Source organism: Homo sapiens, chromosome 2 (assembly GCF_000001405.40).
Source record: "Homo sapiens chromosome 2, GRCh38.p14 Primary Assembly".
Classification (NCBI taxonomy): Eukaryota; Metazoa; Chordata; class Mammalia; order Primates; family Hominidae; genus Homo; species Homo sapiens.
In genome coordinates, this window is record NC_000002.12 from 126332316 (window position 1) to 126351168 (window position 18853).

At 36.1% G+C, this 18853-nt stretch overlaps 1 annotated feature.

Annotated features, from left to right (window-relative positions):
• Positions 12224 to 12424: a silencer, noted in NCBI's record as "peak3851 fragment used in MPRA reporter construct". NCBI's record gives its function as "represses an SCP1 promoter by STARR-seq MPRAs in K562 erythroleukemia cells {active_cell/tissue: K562}" and the evidence as "EXISTENCE:reporter gene assay evidence [ECO:0000049][PMID:32103011]".

An 18853-nucleotide genomic window follows, 5' to 3' on the forward strand; every position in this document is an offset into this window, starting at 1 on the left:
GAAAAAAATTAGATGATATAATTGCCACAAAGAAAATCTACAAAACCAAAAGGCAGATCTTTAAAAATGTCAATAAAATTGACAAAACTCTAGCTAGACTGACCGAGTTAAAAATGGAGAAGACTCAGATTATTAGGATGAAAAAAGAAGAGGAATATTATTATTCACCTTGCACAAATAAAGAGGATTATAATAGAATACTATGAGCAATTACATGCAACAAATTGGATAACCTAAATAAAACAGAAAATGTCTAAAAATACATAAACTACCAAAATCGACCAAAAAAGAAATAAAAACACAAATAGATCAATAATGAGTATACTGTTAATCAAACACTTTTCAAAAAGAAAAGACAGGAACCAAAGCTTCAACTGGTAAATTCTGCCAAGCATTTGAGAAGAATTAATACCCGTTCTACATCAACTCTGTCAAAACATAGAAGAGCGAACAACTTTCACAATTCATTTTATGAGGACAATAATCACCAAGACTAAAACCAGACAAATAACAAACAAGAAAATCACAGATTACTTTGCCTATGAATATAGTTTTTAAAACTCTTTAAAAAGTACAACCCTAAATCCATCAAAATACAAAAAAGAATTATACATTATGACCAAGGGGGATTTATTTGAGGAATGCAAGGTTGGTTTAACATGCATTCAACAAACCATATTAATTGAACAAGAGATAAAAACTATATGATCATTTCCATAGATCCAGAACAAGCATTTAATAAAACATAACACTTTTTCATGATTTCTTTTTCAAAAATCAACAAACTGGGAATAGAAGAAAAATGTCTTAATCTGTTAAAGGGCATCTACGAAAAATGTACAGGTGGCATCATATTTAATGGTGAAAGACTAAATGTTTTACCTCTAACATAAGGAAATAAAGGGATAGCCCCTCATCCCACTTCCATTCAGCATTGCACTGGAGGTTCTATCCATGGCAATTAGGCAAGAAAAAGAAATAGAAGTCATCCAAAATGTAAATAAAGAATTAAACTGTGTCTATTTGCAGAAGACATGGTCTTGTTGTATCAGTTTTCCAACTGCCATGACGAAGTACCACAAACTGGTTGCCTCCAAATATATAATTTTATTGTCTTGCAGTGCTAGAGACTAGAAATCCAAAATCATGGTGTCAGCAAGATGTGTTCTTTCTGAAGGTTTTGAGAAAAGAATCTGTTCCAGGTATCTATCCTTGGCTTTTAGATAATCATCTCCTCCTATGTATCTTTATATTGTGTTTCTTCCATGGTGACTCTGTGTCTAACTTTCTCAATTTTTATTAAGACACCAGTCATACTGAATTAGTGCCCAACCTAATAACCTGATTTTAACTTGATATCTCCAGTAAAAACCCTGTCTCCAAATAAAGTCATATTCTGAGGTAGTGGGAATTAGAATTTCAATTTATTATATGATTGGGCAGGGTACTGAAGCACAAATCAACTCATAACATTTAAATATAGAAAATACTAAAAAATCCACTTAAATAGATTAAATGAGTTTCAGAGGAGTTATAAGACAAATGATTAATATACAAAACTTAACTGTAAAAATAGTCTCAAAATACTGTAGCAATGAAAAGGGAAATGAGAATCCACTGGAATAATGAAGGACACCCCAGATCTGAGGGAGGAGAAGGTGAGCAAACAGCCCCCGCAATGATGTCTGGCTGATAAAAGTGAGTGAAACCCCAGTACACAAGAGGGGAAAATAGTCTCCCTCTGTGACTCACCTTTCCACTGGGGATCTGTGCAACCAAGGCCAAGGGAGAGCACTTTGTTTCTCCCAAGCCCTGGAGCTAACTTGGGAGGGTCTTAGAGATGCTGAGAACGAAAGACCCCAGAAAAAGCTGCAGGTATTTTCCTAGACCTGGGACCAAAAGCAGGACATCATTTTTAATCTAGGTGCATACAAAGTCAGTCATTGTTAGGTGACCTGGCAGCATGGCCATGCTGGCTTTTTAGTCTCAGGCCAAAGAGCAGAGCACTTGCACTGAGGAGATGTAGATGCCTCCACAAGCAGAACTGTGAAAAGCACACCAGCAATAGGCACTGAAATTGTGCTCTACCCCTTCACAGGTCTGGGACAGGAGGGGAATTGCTGCAGCTACATTGTCTCCTGGGCAATGAGACTGCAGCCAGGAACAGCTCGGTGACTTGGAACCAGTCTGCATATGTCACTGCTAGGTGATCCAGCCAGCTCCCCAGAGATTAAGGTGCATAATCTCCCTGCTCCATGCCGAGGCAGATCTCCAGGCATTCAGAGCACCCATTCGCAAGGATCAGCAGCCTGAGTTGTCCCACCCTCCCTTTGCTGAGATGCTCATGCATGGGTGGGGGGCCCTCTCTGCTCCAGGCCCTGACAGACTTCTGGGCATTTGGAGCACTGACTCCCCTAGATCAGCAGCCTGGGCAGCCACACTTATCCTATGCAGAGATAATGGTGCAGCAGGGTCACCTCCACTCCACACCTGGGCAGATCCTCAGGCATTCAGAACACTCATTCACCTACATCAGCAGTCTGAGCCACCCCATGCTTCCTGTGCATAGATCATGGCGCAGGGAGGCCCTCTTCACTGTACGTCCAGGTCTATTTGCAGGCAGTTTGAGCACCCATTCAACTAAATGGGTGGCAGCCTGAATCACCCTAAGTTTCTTGTACAGAGATCTGGGTGCAGGGGGTGCTGAGGGAGATCTCTGGGCATTGAGAACACCTGCTCATCTGGATCAGCAGCCTGAACCACCTTATCCTTCCTGTGCAGAGGCTGTGATGGAGCAGGGCCTACTCTGCTGCATGCCCAGACCAGACCTTCAGGGATACAGAACACCAGCTTGCCTGGGTAACAGCCTGAGTCACCCTCACCGTTTTTGTGCAGAGATTTTGTTGCACCTGGGCCCTCTGCATTCCATATCCAGACAGATCTCCAAGCATCTGGAACACTCACTTCTCCTGTATTAGGTATTTAGGCCAACCCTTCTCCCTGTGCAGAGAACTTGGGACCAAAGAAGTTTCTTAACTTCGTGCGTAGGCACTCCTCTGGGTACTTGGTAACTGCCCACTGGATTATAACTTTGTGCTGGTGTTTGTGCCTGCCTAGTCTGACACCACCCATCTTGGTCTTTCTCTCACCCCCCGACGATGCACTTCACAGATCTACCCATTGCCTGAGGCAACACAGAGCTTCTCCCAGTAAATAAAGAGCTACATTGGCTGCAGCCAGCTCTTACCCATAAGCACCATCTAATAGCTTGTAGGTCAAGCCCCAAACCTAGAATAAAAATGGGCTATAGAAGCAAAGCCAAAGACTCTATCTTACATTCTTTACAGTCACAGCCCCTAGAGAGGGGGAGAAAGATAAAGAATAAAATAATATTATATGGAAAAAAAGAAAAAAATCCTATCCACATGAAAATAATTACAAAAATTAGAAGTGGCTGCATTTTCAGATGAGAAAGCACCAGTGCAAATGTTACAGCACCATGAAAAATCTGAATGTTGTGACACACTAGCTCTCTAGTAATGCTCCTTAAACAAAATGGAAACTCAGAAATGAAAGATAAAGAATTCAAAGCATGGATCAGAGAAGTTCAGTGAGATCAAGACAAGTTGAAAATCAACACAAAGAAACTTCTAAAGGAATCCAGTAAATGAAGAAAGAGATAAACAGCTTAAAAATAAATCAGTCAGAGCTTTTGGAATAGACAAACTCACTTAAGAAATTATGAAATGCAATTAAAATATTTATCAATAGACTGGACCAAGCAATTCTGAAAGAATTTCAGAACTTGAAGACCAATCTTTTGAACTAACCCAGTCAGACAAAAATAAAGAAAAAAGAATTTTTAAAACTGAACAAAGCGTTTAGAAATATAGGAGTATGTAAAGCAAGAAAATCTACAAATTATTGGCATTCCTGAAAGGGAAAAAGAAAAAGAAAACAACCCGAAAAACACATTTGAAAAAATAATTCAAGAAAATTTTACTAATCTTGCTAGAGAAGTAACTATCCAGATGTTAGAAATCCAGAGAACACCTGCCGGATACTATACCAAATGAACAACACCAAGACCTATAGGCACCAGCTTGTGCAAAGTCAATGCTAAGCAAAAACCTTAAAGGCAGCCACAGAAAAATGTTAGATCATGTACAAAGGAACCCCATCTGGCTAACAGCAGACTTCTTAGCAGAAACCTTACAAGCCAGGAGAGATTGGGAGTCTATCTTTAGCATTCTTAATGAAAGAAAATTCTAACCAAGAATTTCATACCCCACTAAACTAAGCTTCATGTGAAGGAGAAATGAAGTCTTCTCTAGACAAGCAATTACTAAGGGAATTTATTACCAGTAGACTAATTTCACAAGAGATCCTTAAGGGAGTTTGAAACATGAAAACAAAAGAATAATATCTGCTACTACAAAAACACATTTAAGTATATAGCCCAGAGACCCTATGAAACAACTATACACCTAACAGCTAACAACTTCACAATTTGCCACTCTGTTCCTTTTAAGTGGGGCCTTTAGACCATTTACATTCAAGATTAATATTCATATCACATATTAAAAAAACAAGACCCAACCTCCTGCTGTCTTCAAGAGATTTATCTCACATGTAATGATAGCCATAGGCTCAAGTAAAGCGTTGGAGAAAGACCTATCATGCAAATGGAAAACAAAAAAAAAGAGGGGTAACTATTCTTAAATTAGTTAAAATAGACTTTACACCAACAATGGCATAAAAGGACAAATAAAGGAACTACATACTGATGAAGGATGCAATTCAATGAGAAGACTTAACTATTCTAAATATATACATACCAAACACTGGAGCATTTAGAGTCATAAAACAAGTGCTTCTAGACCTATAAAAAGACAGCCACACAATAATGGTGGAGGAACCCAATACCTCACTGACAGCACTAGACAGATCACCAAGGCAGAAAACTAACAAAGAAATTCTGGACTTAAATTCAATACTTGATCAACTTGATTAATTGAACCAAAGAGATATCTATAGAACATTCCACCCATCAACCACAGCTTATACATTCTTCCTATCTGCTTCTGGAAAATACTCTGAGATCAATCACATTCTCAGCCATGAAGAAAATCTCAATAAAATAAAAAAAAATAAAAATCATATCAATCATACTCCTGGAACACAATGGAACCAAAATAGAAGTCAATTCCAATAAGATCTCTCAAACCACACAATTAAGTTGAAATTAAGAAAGTTGCCCCGGATGACTTTTGAGTAAACAAAGAAATTAAGACAAAAATAAGAAAAATTATTTGAAGTAAATTAAAAAAGAGGTAGAACACTTCAAAATCTCTGAGATGCAGCAAAAGTGTGTTAAGAGGAGAGTTAGTAGCACTCAATATCGATTTCAATAAAATAGAAACATACCAAATTAATGATCTAACATTAATGATCACATCTAGATGAACTAGAAAAATAAAGACAAGCTAACCCCAAAGCTATCAGAAGAAAAGGCATGTTAAAATCAGAGCAAAACTAAATGAAGTTGAGATCCAAAAATCCATAAAAAGTATAAGACCAAAAGGTGGTTTTTTGAAAGGATACCCAAAATTGATAGACTGCTACCTACATTAACAAAGAAAAAAAAGGGAGAAGATCCAAAAAAGAACTGTCATAAACAACAAGTGTGACATTAAAACTAATCCCACAGAAATACAAAAGATCCTTAGAAACTTTTATGAACACCTCTATGCACACAAACTTGAAAATCTAGAGGAAATGGATAAATTCATGGGACCACAAAATCTAGTAAGATTGAATCAGGAAGAAATTGATACCCTGAACAGACCAATATTTGGTTTAAAAATTGAATCAATAATGACAAACTGACCAACCAAAAGAAGTCTTGAACTAGATGAATTTACAGCTGAATTCTACTAGATGTACAAAAAATAACTGGTACCAATTCTGCTAAAACTATTCTAAAACCTTGAGACAGAAGGACTCCTCCCTAACTCATTCTATGAAGCCAATATCATCCTGATACCAAAACCTGGCAAAAACGTAATGAATAAATAAAACTTCAGGCCAATATCTCTAATAAACATAGATACAAAAATCCTCAATAAAATATTAGCAAACTGAATCTAGCAGTACATCAAAAAGCTTATCCACCACAATGAAGTAGGCTTTATTCCTAAGATGCAAGGTTGGTTCAACACACACAAATCAATAAATGCAACTGACCACATAAGGACACTTAAAAACAAAAACCATATGATCATCTCAATAGGTGCAGAAAAAGCTTTTGATAAAATCCAACTTTCCTTCATGATAAAACCAGACATTGAAGGAACATACCTCAAAATAATAAAAGTCACCTATGATAAATCCACAACCAACATCATAGTGAATGGGCAAAAACTGGAACCATTCACCTTAAGAAGAGGAACAAGTCAAGGATGTCCACTCTCACAACTCTTATTCAACATAGTACCAAAAGTCCTAGCCAGAGCAATAAGGCAAGAAGAAATAAAAGACATCCAAATAGAAAAAGAAGAAGTCAAATTATCTCTCTTTGCTGCTGATGATTCTATACTTTAAACATGCTAAAGACTCTGCCAAAAGGCTCCTGGAACTGATAAACAGCTTCAGTAAAATATTAGGATACAAAATCAATTCACAAACATCAGTACCATTTTTATACACCAATAACATTTCAGCTGAGAGCCAAATCAAGAACACAATGCCATTTACAATAGCACCCATCCCTCCCAAAAATACTTAGAAATACATCTAACCAAAGAGCTGAAAGATCTCCACAAGGAGCACTACAAAACAATGCTAAAAAAATTATAGATAACACAAACAAATGGAAAAACATTCCATGCTCATGAATTGGAAGAGTCAATATTGTGAAAATGGACACACTGCCCAAAGCAATCTATAAATTCAATGCTATTCTTATCAAACTACAAACATCATGTTTCCCAGAATAGAAAAAACTAGTCTAAAATTCAGATGGAACCAAAAAATAGCCCAAATAGCCAAAGCAATGCTAAGCAAAAAGAATAAAGCTGAAGCCATCTTATTACCTGACTTCAAACTATACTATGAGGATATAGTAACCAAACCAGCATGGTACTGATACAAAAGCATACACATAGACCAATGGAACAGGTTAGAGAACCGAGAAAGAAAGCCACACACCTACAACCATCTGGTCTTTGATAAACTTGACAACAATTAGCAATGGAGAAATTACTTCCTATTAAGTAAATGGTGCTGGGATGACTGACTAGCCATAAACAGAAGACTGAAACTGGACCCTTTCTTTCACCATATAAAAAAGTAAATAAAATGAATTAAATATTTAAATATAAGACCTCAAACTATAAAAATCCTAGACATAAACCTAGGACGTACCATTCTGGACACAGGCCTTATCAAAATATTTATGGGTAAGTGCTCAAAAGCAATTGCAACAAAAACACAAATTGACAAGTGGGATCTAGAACTTCTGCAAAACAAAGAAACCGTCAACAGAGTAAACATACAACAGAATTGGAGAAAATATTTGCAAACAATGCACCTGACAAAGGCCTAATATACAGAATCCATAAAGAACCTAATGCAACAAGCAAAAACAAATAACTTCATTAAAAAGTAGGCAAAGAACATGAACCGACACTTATCAGAAGGCCTACAAGCAGCCAACAAACATGAAAAAAGTTCATCATCACTAATGAAATGTGAATCAAAACCACAATTAGATGCCCCCTTGCACCAACCAGGTGGAATTGTTATTTTAAAAAGTCAATAAATAGGCCAGGCGTGGGGGCTCATGCCTATAATCCCAGCACTTTGGGAGGCTGAGGCGGGCAGATCACTTGAGGTCAGGAGTTTGAGACCAGCCTGGCCAACTTGGTGAAACCCCATCTCTACTAAAAATACAAAAATTAATTGGGTGTGGTGGCAGGTGCCTGTAATCCCAACTACTTGGGAGATTGAGGTGGGAGAGTCACTTGAACCTGGAAGGCAGAGGTTGCAGTGAGCTGAAATTACATCATTGCACTCCAACATAGGTGACAAGAGCGAGACTTTGTCTCAAAAAAAAAAAAAATCAATAAATAACAGATGCTGGCAAGGCTGCGGAGAAAATGCAACATTTTACACTGTTAGTGGGAATAAAAATTATTGCAGCAACTGCAGAAAGCAGTGTAGACATTTCTCAAAGAACTTAGAACTACCTTTCCACCCAGCAATCCCATTATTGGGTACATACCTGAAAGAAAATAAGTCTTTCTACCAAAAAGACACATGCACTTGTATGTTCATTGCAGCACTATTCACAGTAGCAAAGGCATAAAATCAACATAGGATACCCATCAACAGTGGATTGGATAAAGAAAATGTAATACATATACACCGTGGAATACCATACAACCATAAAAAAGAATGAAAGTATGTCTTTTGCACAACAAGGATGCAACTACAGGTCATTGTCCTAAGCAAATTAAACCCAGGAACAGAAAACCAAATACTGCATGTTCTCACTTACAAGTGGGAGCTATAAATTGGGTACACATGGACATAAAGATGGGAACAATAGACACTGGGGACTACTACAAGGGGGAGAGTGGAAGTTGGGGGGCAAGGGCTGACAAACTACCTATTGGGTATTATGCTCACTACTTGAGTGTCGGGATCATTCATACCCCAAACCTCTATGTCACACAATACAGGCATGTAGCAAATCTGCACGTGCACCTCCGAGTCTAAAATTTAAAAAGGAAATATATTTATATTTTACATTAAGATGAAAAAAGATCTGTACAGTAAAAACCACAAAGCTTTATTGAAGGAAATTAAAGAATTCCTAAATAAATAGACTTTCCATGTACATGAGTTGGATGAGTTCATATTAATAAGATGGCAATATTCTTCAAATTGATCAACAGATTTGATTCAGTTCTTACAAAAAACACAAGGTAGATTATTTGAAGAAATTGACAACATAACCCTAATATTTATATGGAAATGTAAAGGATCTAGAATAGGCAAAATAGAATAATAATGTTGGAAGAATCACACTCAGATTTAAAAATTATTGCACAGCTACAGTAATCAAGGCAGTGTTGTATTGGCATAAGGACAGGCATATAGATCAATGGATCAGAATTGAGAGTTCATAAAAAAAGAACAAACTCATATTTTGGGACACTTAAATTTTTACAAAGTTACCAAGATGATTCAATTACAAAATAATAATATTTTCACAAATGGTGCTGGGACAATTGGATATTCACATGCAAAAAAAATTAGTAAAGTTGGACTCCTAAGTACTCCTACTCTACCATACACAAAAATTCACCAAAAATGAATTTAAGATCCAAATGTAAGAACTAAATGTAAAAACTGAATCTATAAAACTCTTAGAATAAAACATAGCCATAAATCTGTATGACTTTGGAATGGTAATGATTTCTTATGTATGGCACCAAAAGCACAAGCAACAAAAGAAAAGAAATAAATTGTCCCTTATCAAAATTTAAAATATTTGCTCTTTAATGGATACCATTAAGAAATTGAATAACAGCCGGGCATGGTGTCTCATGCCTGTAATCCCAGCACTTTGGGAGGCCGAGGCAGGCGGATCATCTGAGGTCAGGAGTTCGAGACCAGCCTGGCCAACATGGCAAAACCCCGTCTCTACTAAAAATACAAAAAATTAGGCAGACGTGGTGGCGGGCGCCTGTAATCGCAGCTACTCAGGAGGCTGAAGCAGGAGAACTGCTTGAACCAGGGAGGTGGAGGTTGCAGTGAGCCGAGATCACGCCATTGCACTCCAGCCTGGGTGACAGAGCAAAACTGTGTCTCAAAAAAAAAAAAAAAGAAAAAGAAAAGAAATTAAATGACAACCCACAAAATGGGAGAAAACATTTACAAATCCTACATCTGATTAAAGACTTCTATCAAGAACATATAAGTAACTCTCACAACTCGATGAAAATATGACAAATAACCAATTAAAAATAGGCAAAGAATATAAATAGACATTTCTCCTAAGAAGATGTACAAATGTTCAATATGCACATATAAAATGGTCAACATCTAGACCCAAAGTAAATACAAATAGGAACCTAATGCGATACCAATTTACACCTGCTAGGATGGCTATAATCAAAAAGACAGAAAATAAAAAGTGTTTGTAAGGACGGGGAGAAATTAGAACCCTCTTACACTGTCCATGGAAACGGGAAATAGTGCAGCCAGTATGGAAAACAATCTGAAAATTTTTCAAAAGTTTAAACAGAATTAATGTATGATTCAGCAATTTTATCCCTAGATACATACCCAAGACAAATGAAAACATAGTTTCACACAAAAACATATACAAATATTCATTGTATCATTATCTGTAACAGCCAAAAGTCAAATACCGACCAAATGTCCATTAACTGATGAATGAATATATGTGGCATATCCATTTGATGAAATATACTATTTCTTGGCAATAAAAAGAAAAAAAATGAAGTACTTATACCTGCTAAAACATGGATGCACTTGGAAGCTACACTGAAAGATGCCAGGCACAAAAGGCCACAGATTGTATGATTCAATTCTTATGAAATGTTCAGAATAGGGAAATCCATAGAAACAAGGGGAGATTCATAGTTGCCAGAAGCTGAGGGGAAGAAGAAATAGGGAATAAATGCTAATGAGTATGAGGTTTTATTTCAGGGTAGTAAAAATGTTCTAAAATTGATTGTGGTGATGGCTGCAAAACTCTGAAATACTAAAAAAATCATTGAACTGTATACTTTAAATGGGTGAAATGTATGGTGTGTGAATTCCATCTCAATTAAGCTATTATTGAAAAGAAAAAGAAAGAGAGATGGGTGGAGAGGAAGGAGTTTCCAAACATCTAAGGAAGATGTATCCAAATCTGGTACCTAGCCAGCATCTACATATAGAAGAGCAGAAGAAAACGACTTGGAAATGTCTTTGACATGTGCCATGCCATCATTCACAGCCCAGCTGGTTGGAATGATGTGATCAGTTCACTTCAGTAATTTCCCTTCTGTTATCTTGTTCTGGGAGCGTTATCCCTTCTAGAACTGTGACTCCTGTCTTAAAACAGTCTCCTCTGAGGCTATTTCACCTAGAAAATAGAACTAGATATAGTCCCATATGCATTGAGTTGTTAAGAGAATTAGATCAGAAAAGGTAGAAGGTGTTTAGCACAATGACTTTCATGTAGTAAAGGCTCAACAAAAGTTACGTATTTTAAATTCCTTAACTCCACCCCCACCATTTGCCCCATTCTGGCATGCATTTTTATTGCAGGTCATTTTAATGACCTAGAGTCATTCATTGATCCTTCATACATTTGTTTTTGTTGTTTTTTCTTTGATATGATTCATTTTTTCTTTTTTCGTTTTAGCAAAACCCAAGTATCAAGTTCTGCACTCAGTACTGAGATAATTGCACTACACAGAGATGAGTGCAATATGGAAGCTAAACACAGGATGCTTTGAAGAAAAGAAGAATCCCTTCTATTTTGTCCTGTACCTTCCTGTACCGCATAACCATGCTCAGAACTCAAAGAACACACAGCCTTTCTCAAGATTATGGCTGGATGGAAAAATTTCTAATAAAGAAGTGAAAGCAATTTGCCACATTAAAATCTTAGCAAGTCCACTGGCCCTCAGTGCCTCCTCGAGAACCAGTATGAGTCAGATGTTACCAAAACACAATGGAGACAACATCAAGGCTGTACACAACCTAAAAGGGATATTTTACATTGAACTAATCTTTTTTTTTTTTAGATGGATTCTCGCTGTGTCACCCAGCGTGGAGTGCAGTGGTGCGATCTCAGCTCACTGCAACCTCTGCCTCCTGGGTTCAAGCAATTCTCCTGCCTCAGCCTCCCAAGTAGCTGGGATTACAGGAGTCTGCCACTATGACTGGCTAATTTTTTGTATTTTTCGTAGAGATAGCGTTTCACCATGTTGGCCAGGCTGGTCTCAAACTCCTGACCTCAAGTGATCCACCCACCTTGGCTTCCCAAAGTGCAGAGATTACAGGCATGAGCCACCATGCCAGGCCTATACTAATCTTTATGCATACTCTGCAGATGCTTTTGGATTGCCATGTCCTATTTTTCAGCTTTAAGCAAAAGGTTGCACAAACAGGCACGGACAACTGCTGATGAAACACAGGAAGACTCTCAGAGAGAAAGTCATCACGCAAACACCAGAAGTGGCCAGGAACTCACATAGTTCTCTCTTTAGGCTGCAGTGGTAATTGAGTAAAGGGAGATAGAGGGACACTCTAGTTTGCTTCAGGAAAGCCCCAGAAACTGTAACACTTCTCCAAAACTCTGATACTATGATGTTGCCTGACCACAGAAATTTCAGTGAACAGATGACTGCTTATCTCAGATTATGAGTGCTCCATGTGTACAGAACTTATGATTTAATTCTGTGGCTCCAGCCTTATCACTACCTGGCACAGGGCAACACTTGGTAACTGCTTATTGGGTTTATTGTCTGAATTAATATTGTATCAATCATGTGAGGCATTTGCCTTTCACATTGGGGGTCTGTAATTTCTATGACATTTCTAACTGAAAACACAACAGTTCTAATTGTTTACTTTTTATTTTAATAGTAATCCAAACAATATAACACAATAATTAGGATTATTTTACAGCCACCTAAAGATGGAATTCTGACTTGGGATTCCAGAGTCTGCTTTTGTTCCTAAGATTATACTTTTACTGAGCTAAAGTGCATTGGCATCGCTATAGGATAAACTGGCTGGTCAAGACTTCCATGGGCGTGAAGTTCTGAGCCCCACCACCTGTACTATCCCCTCAGCATTTACTACAATGCCTGGCAAATAATAGCTTTTAAATCAAGATTTAATGGTGAACTCTTGAAGAAACTAAACCTTTGCAGTTTAGTGACATTGTGTCAACTTGGGTAGGCTAAAATACATTTCTCAGAATTTTTCTTGCATGGTTGCAGTTAGGGTGAACTGTAAGGGGGTTTCTTGTTAGATGTGGAGGACAGGAGGGAAGGAATAGTCAACATGTACCCCACACCCATTGTGACAAATCTGCTCACTCACCCCGTTAGTGAGGGGCTGCAGCAATGCCTGCACCTGTCCCTTCGTTCCCTGGATCCTTCTTCAGATTCCTGACTCCTGGGCCATATGTTTGTGCTTAGCTCTGTGATAAAGGGTTTCAATTTCTAAAGGGCACCCATGTGACCAATGTCACAGGCAAGAGGAGCTACTGTTTTAGTCCATACTTATGAGATTTTAGCCCATGCTGTGAGCTCCTGCCTACCCATGATTTACCCCTCTAAACACCTCTCTTACCTTTCTGTCTGCCTGTCAGGTGGACTTCAAGCTCCAGTGTCAGAAGCAAAAACAACAGCTTTACAGAGAATGCACAACTGGTTCCCACAATTGTGTAAGTCAGTTCTCTGCAATGAGTCCCTTTATCTCTCCTGGTGGTATTTCTTTGGTTGAACTGATACAGAGGTTGATGCATTACTTTGTTCTTATCTCTGTTTTACTCTCTCCACAGTTTTCCTGGTAGCATATACAGTAATAAGTAAGCAATAAGGAGTTTTATGTTCCTGACTCCATAAATAAATGCATTAAAGCAAGCTTTAATAACACTATAATCCTAACCTTATCTGCAACTACGCCAAACAATTTTTACAGTGTTATTATGTGAGGTGTGTAATACCTGTAAGCCATGTTCAAGTGCTTGGCACACACATACCTTCCACAAGCACAGTAAAACAGAATCTGCCATTGGCAGAGGAGCCTGAGCATTTGGGATGCCTGAAGTCCAGCCAGCTCACCATCCTTGCTTGCAAGCATTATCCCTTGAAAATGGTGGTATGATTAGGAACCATTTTGTGTGACAGACTTTCAGTTGTGCAGAAACTATAAATCTTACTCAAGCAAGGATATTTTGCAGTGACTGGGATCAAGAACTACAGACCTGAATGTTATCTCACCTCAAAGCACCAGCCTCTGAGCCCAGTGTTCTTCAGGATTTAGAAAAGCCCTACGGTGCTCATGCTATCAATGGCAAAGGAAAAACTCAATGGATTGGGGTAGCTGGATCCACTAAATGGGGACCCACTATTCCGGAATATTTAATGCTCCTGCACTGGGTTGAAAACAATTTTGTTTTTCTACAAACCAATAAGAGGAAAGTATAAACTCACATAATCTGGAAAGGAGGCAATGATCAAATACTGAGATTTGAACTTTAGCTTTCATTAAAATTAGCATGCAAGAATTGCTTGCTGGAAGAATTTTTGTTAAGGACAAAGGATACTTATTCTTAATCAAGCAGCAATGCTCTTATTAATATAATTTAGCATACTTAAAGGACATTATTACTGAACTCGAAATTCAAAAACAGATTAAATATAAAACAGAACCTGCAGCTATATCTTTTCATTGTAAAATCAACACTAGTGATGTTGTTTCAGCAGACCATTAGACACTAAATAAATGTTGCTAATTTGAATCACACTGGTTTTGTGGTTTTGTGTGTAATTCTTACATTTGTATTGCTTTTACAATTCTCCATCTATTTTTTGCATGTTTTAAGCAACATACAGACATTCCATTATTAAGATATCTCTTAATAATGGAAATACATTCTGAGAAGTGCATCATTTGATGATTTTATTGTTGTAGGAAGATCATAGAGTGTACTTACATAAACCTAGATAAAATAGCCTACTACACACCTGGGCTATATGGTGTAGCTTATCACTCTGAGGCTAACAAACCTACACAGCATGTTACTGTACTGAATACTACAGGCAATTGTGAGACAATGGTAGTATTTGTGTATCTATAAATATCTAACATAAAAAAGTACAGTAAAAGTACAATATTAAAGATAAAAATGCTACACATCTGTATAGAGCACTTACTATGAATGAAGCTTGAAGGACTGGACGTTACTCTGTGTGAGTCAGAGAATGACTGATGAGTGAATGTGAAGGCATAGAACATTATTGTAAACTACTGAAGACTTGACAAATGCTGTACACTTTGGCTACACTGAATTTATTAAAAATATTTTTCTTCAATAATAAATTAACCATAGCTTACTCTAAATTTACTTTATACTTTTTAATTTTTATAACATTTTTACTCTTTTATAATAATATTGGATTAAAACATAGACATATTATACAGCTGTTTAAAAAATTATCTTTGTATCTTTAGTCTATATTCATTTTTCTATTTTTAATTTTTATTTTTTTTAACTTTTTAAACATGTTCAGTTAAAAACTAAGAACAAACACACGCCTTAGCCTAGACCTACACTAAGTCACGATCATCATCACCACCTCCACATCTTGTCCCCGCTGGAAGGTCTTCAGGGGCAATAGCATGCATGGAGCTGTCATCCTATGATAATAATTCCTTCTTCTGGAATTCCCCCTTAAGAACTTGTGTGAGCCTTTTTTACAGTTAATATTTTTTATAAGTAGTAGCAGTACACTCTAAAAAATGATAAAAAGTATAGTATAATAAATATATAAACCAATAACATAGCCATTTACTATCATTATCAAGTATTCTGCATGATACATAGATGTATGTGCTACATCTTTATATGTCTGGCAATGCAGTGGGTCTGTTTACCCCAGCATCATCACAGATACCTAAGTTGTACTATGATGTTATGATGGCTGTGATGTCACTGAACAATAGGAATATTTAAGCTCCATTATCAGCTTATGTGACCACTGTCACATATATTCGTCCTTGACTAAAACATCATGCAGCACATGACTGTAATTACAGAAATGGTTTCTGCTGGGTGCAGTAGCTCACACCTGTAATCCCAGCACTTTGGGAGGTTGAGGTAGGAGGATCACTTTGAGCTCAGGAGTTTGAGACCAGCCAGGGCAACATGGTGAAAACCCATCCCTACAAAAATACAGAAATTATCCAGGTGTGGTGGTACATGCCTGTAGTCCCACCTACTTGGGAGGCTGAAGTGGGAAGATCGCTTGAGTCCAGGAGGCAGAAGTTGCAGTGAGCTGAGATTGTACCACTGCACTCCAGTCTGGGTAACAGAGAAAGGCCCTAAGAATGAGACCCTGTCTCAAAATAATAATAATAATTAAAAAATAAAAAGAAGTGGTTTCTATCAACAAACAGTTTCAATAAGAATTTCCTTTTTTCTCTAGAACAGTAGTTCTCAATCTTTCTGACAAATTAAAATTACTTGCGGGGAGTACATTTCCAGTGATTTTGATTTAATTAGTCTAAGGTGGATCACTGATCTTTAGGCCACTTTAAACATCCATCTTTTAGTAACCAATAAAATAATTAGAAAAAAAGTAAGAACATTAAAAATTTGAACACCACTATTAACCAATATTAACATTTATAGAACATTACACTCAATAAATGTAAGTTTATTTTAATAACACCTGGAATCTTTAACAAGATAGATTAAATTTGGGGCCATTAAAATAAGTCTTAACAAATTTAAAAAATTATAGTATTTTATCATATAAGCTTCAGCCACAACATAATTACATTAACATTTAGTGGTATTAGTATATTTGGTGAAAAAAAACCCAAATATTTGGAAATTAAGCAAAATACCTCAAAACAATAAATTGGACAAAAAAATTGGAGATGAATTAGAAAATATTTTGAACTAAATGATATTAAAAAGAGCATTTCAGAATGTAGAATTCTGTCAAAGTAGTGTTTTGATGAAATTTTATAGATGCAAATACTTATAGAAAAAAAGAAAGGTTTACATGCATTTTCTCTCTAAGAAGTAGAAAGTGAAAAGCAAGTTAAACTCAAAATGGAAGAAAATAATAATAATAAGAGTAATAATCAATGACATAAGGAAGAGAGAAAAATTAATAGAGCCTAAAGTTGATTCTTTAAAAAAAATTAATAAAATTGAAAACATCCAAGCAACAGCAAAGTTATAAAAAAGAATTTAAAAAACACCATCAGAAATAAAGTAGACAGTATCTCTACTTATCCTACAGACATTAAAATGGTAAGTAATGATTCTGAACAAAGTTTTTTAATTTGACAACTCAGATGATGGGCATATTAGAAACACAAGTAATAAAACTGACTCAAAGAGAAATAGAAAACTCAAACAGTCTTACATTTAGTAAAGAAAGTAAACTCAAAATTTAAAACCAGCTTTTCACAAATAAAATACAAAATAATTATCCTGGTTAATGCTACTAAACTTTTAAGAGTGAAATAATACCAATCCTAAACAAACTCTACACATCTTTTCTTTCTGAAAAAAATTTTGAAGCAGCATAATCCTGATACCAAAACCTAAAAAAGTATTATCAGAAAGAAAAATAATATGGACTAATACCTCTCTTTACCAAATTCTTTACTAAATATCAGTAAACAAATTTAGCAATACAGACAGTTCCTGATTTATGATGGTTAGAATTAACAATTTTTTTATTATCAAATAAATTTGTGGCTTATGGGTCTATCTGGATGAAACGCCATTGTAAGTCAAGGAATATCTGTACATTAAAAATATACAATATATACCAAGTAAGGCTTATCTCAGGTAGTCCAGATTGATTCAACATTTTAAAAAAATCAATGTTATTTGTCACATTTAAAGAAGAAGAAAAAATTGTCTCAATAGATGTAGAATATAAAACTAACATAAAATTTAGCAATCCACTTCTGGGTGTTTATTGAAAAGAATCGAAATCAGAATCTGGAAGAGATATCTACACTTCCCTGCTTATTGCACCATTATTCATAATAGCTGAGATGTAAAAACAGCCTGAATGTCCATTGACAGACAAATAAACAAAATGAGGCATTAACGTACAGTAGAATACTGTTCAGCCTTCAACAAGAAGGACATTGAAATATGCATGGATGAATCTTGAGAACATTATGCTAAGTGAGATAAGCCAGTCATAGAAAAATAAGTACTGTATAATTCCACTTAATATGAGGTGTCTAAAATAGTCAAATTTATTGAATCAAAGAGTGGAATGATGGTTGTTCAGGGCTGGAAACAGAGAAAAATGGAAATCATAAATCAACTGGCATAAAGTTTCAGTTAAGCAAAATGAGTAAATTCTAGAGCTCTGCTGTACAACATTGTGTTTGGAGAAAACAGTGTTGTATTATATACTTAAAACATTGGCTAAGAAGGTAAATCTCATGTTAAGTGTTATCACAATAAAGTAGAAAAAGTATTTGCTAAAAGTCAAAATCCATTCATGATAAAAACAGAAAACTCAGAATAAAAGGGAACTTTTTCAATACGGAAAAGGAAATCTACAAAAACCCTACAACTACTATTATATTTAATGATAAAGTTTTTAGAAATTTTCCAAAAGATCAAAAATAAGGTGACAATATCTCCTTTCATACTTTGAATCAACATTGTAATGTACCTCCTGACAAGTTCAATAAGACAAAAAGATGTAAAAGGAATAACTAGTGAAAATGAAGAAGTAAAGCTGCTATTATTTACAGATGGCACTATTGTGTATGTAGAAACCTATATGGAATCTAAAACCAAAGTGAAACAAACTTCTAAAACTAATAGGTACATTTATTAAGCATGGAAAATACAGTATTTCTATTTATTAGCAAGAAAAATAGAAGTCTCAGTAGAAAATTATTCCATTTAAAATAGCATCAAAAGAAACTTACACCCATCTCACACCTATTGGAGTGTCTACAATTAAAAAGAAGAATAAGATCTGTTAGTGAGAATGTGGAGAAATTGAAACCCTTATGCACCGTTGATAGAAGTGTA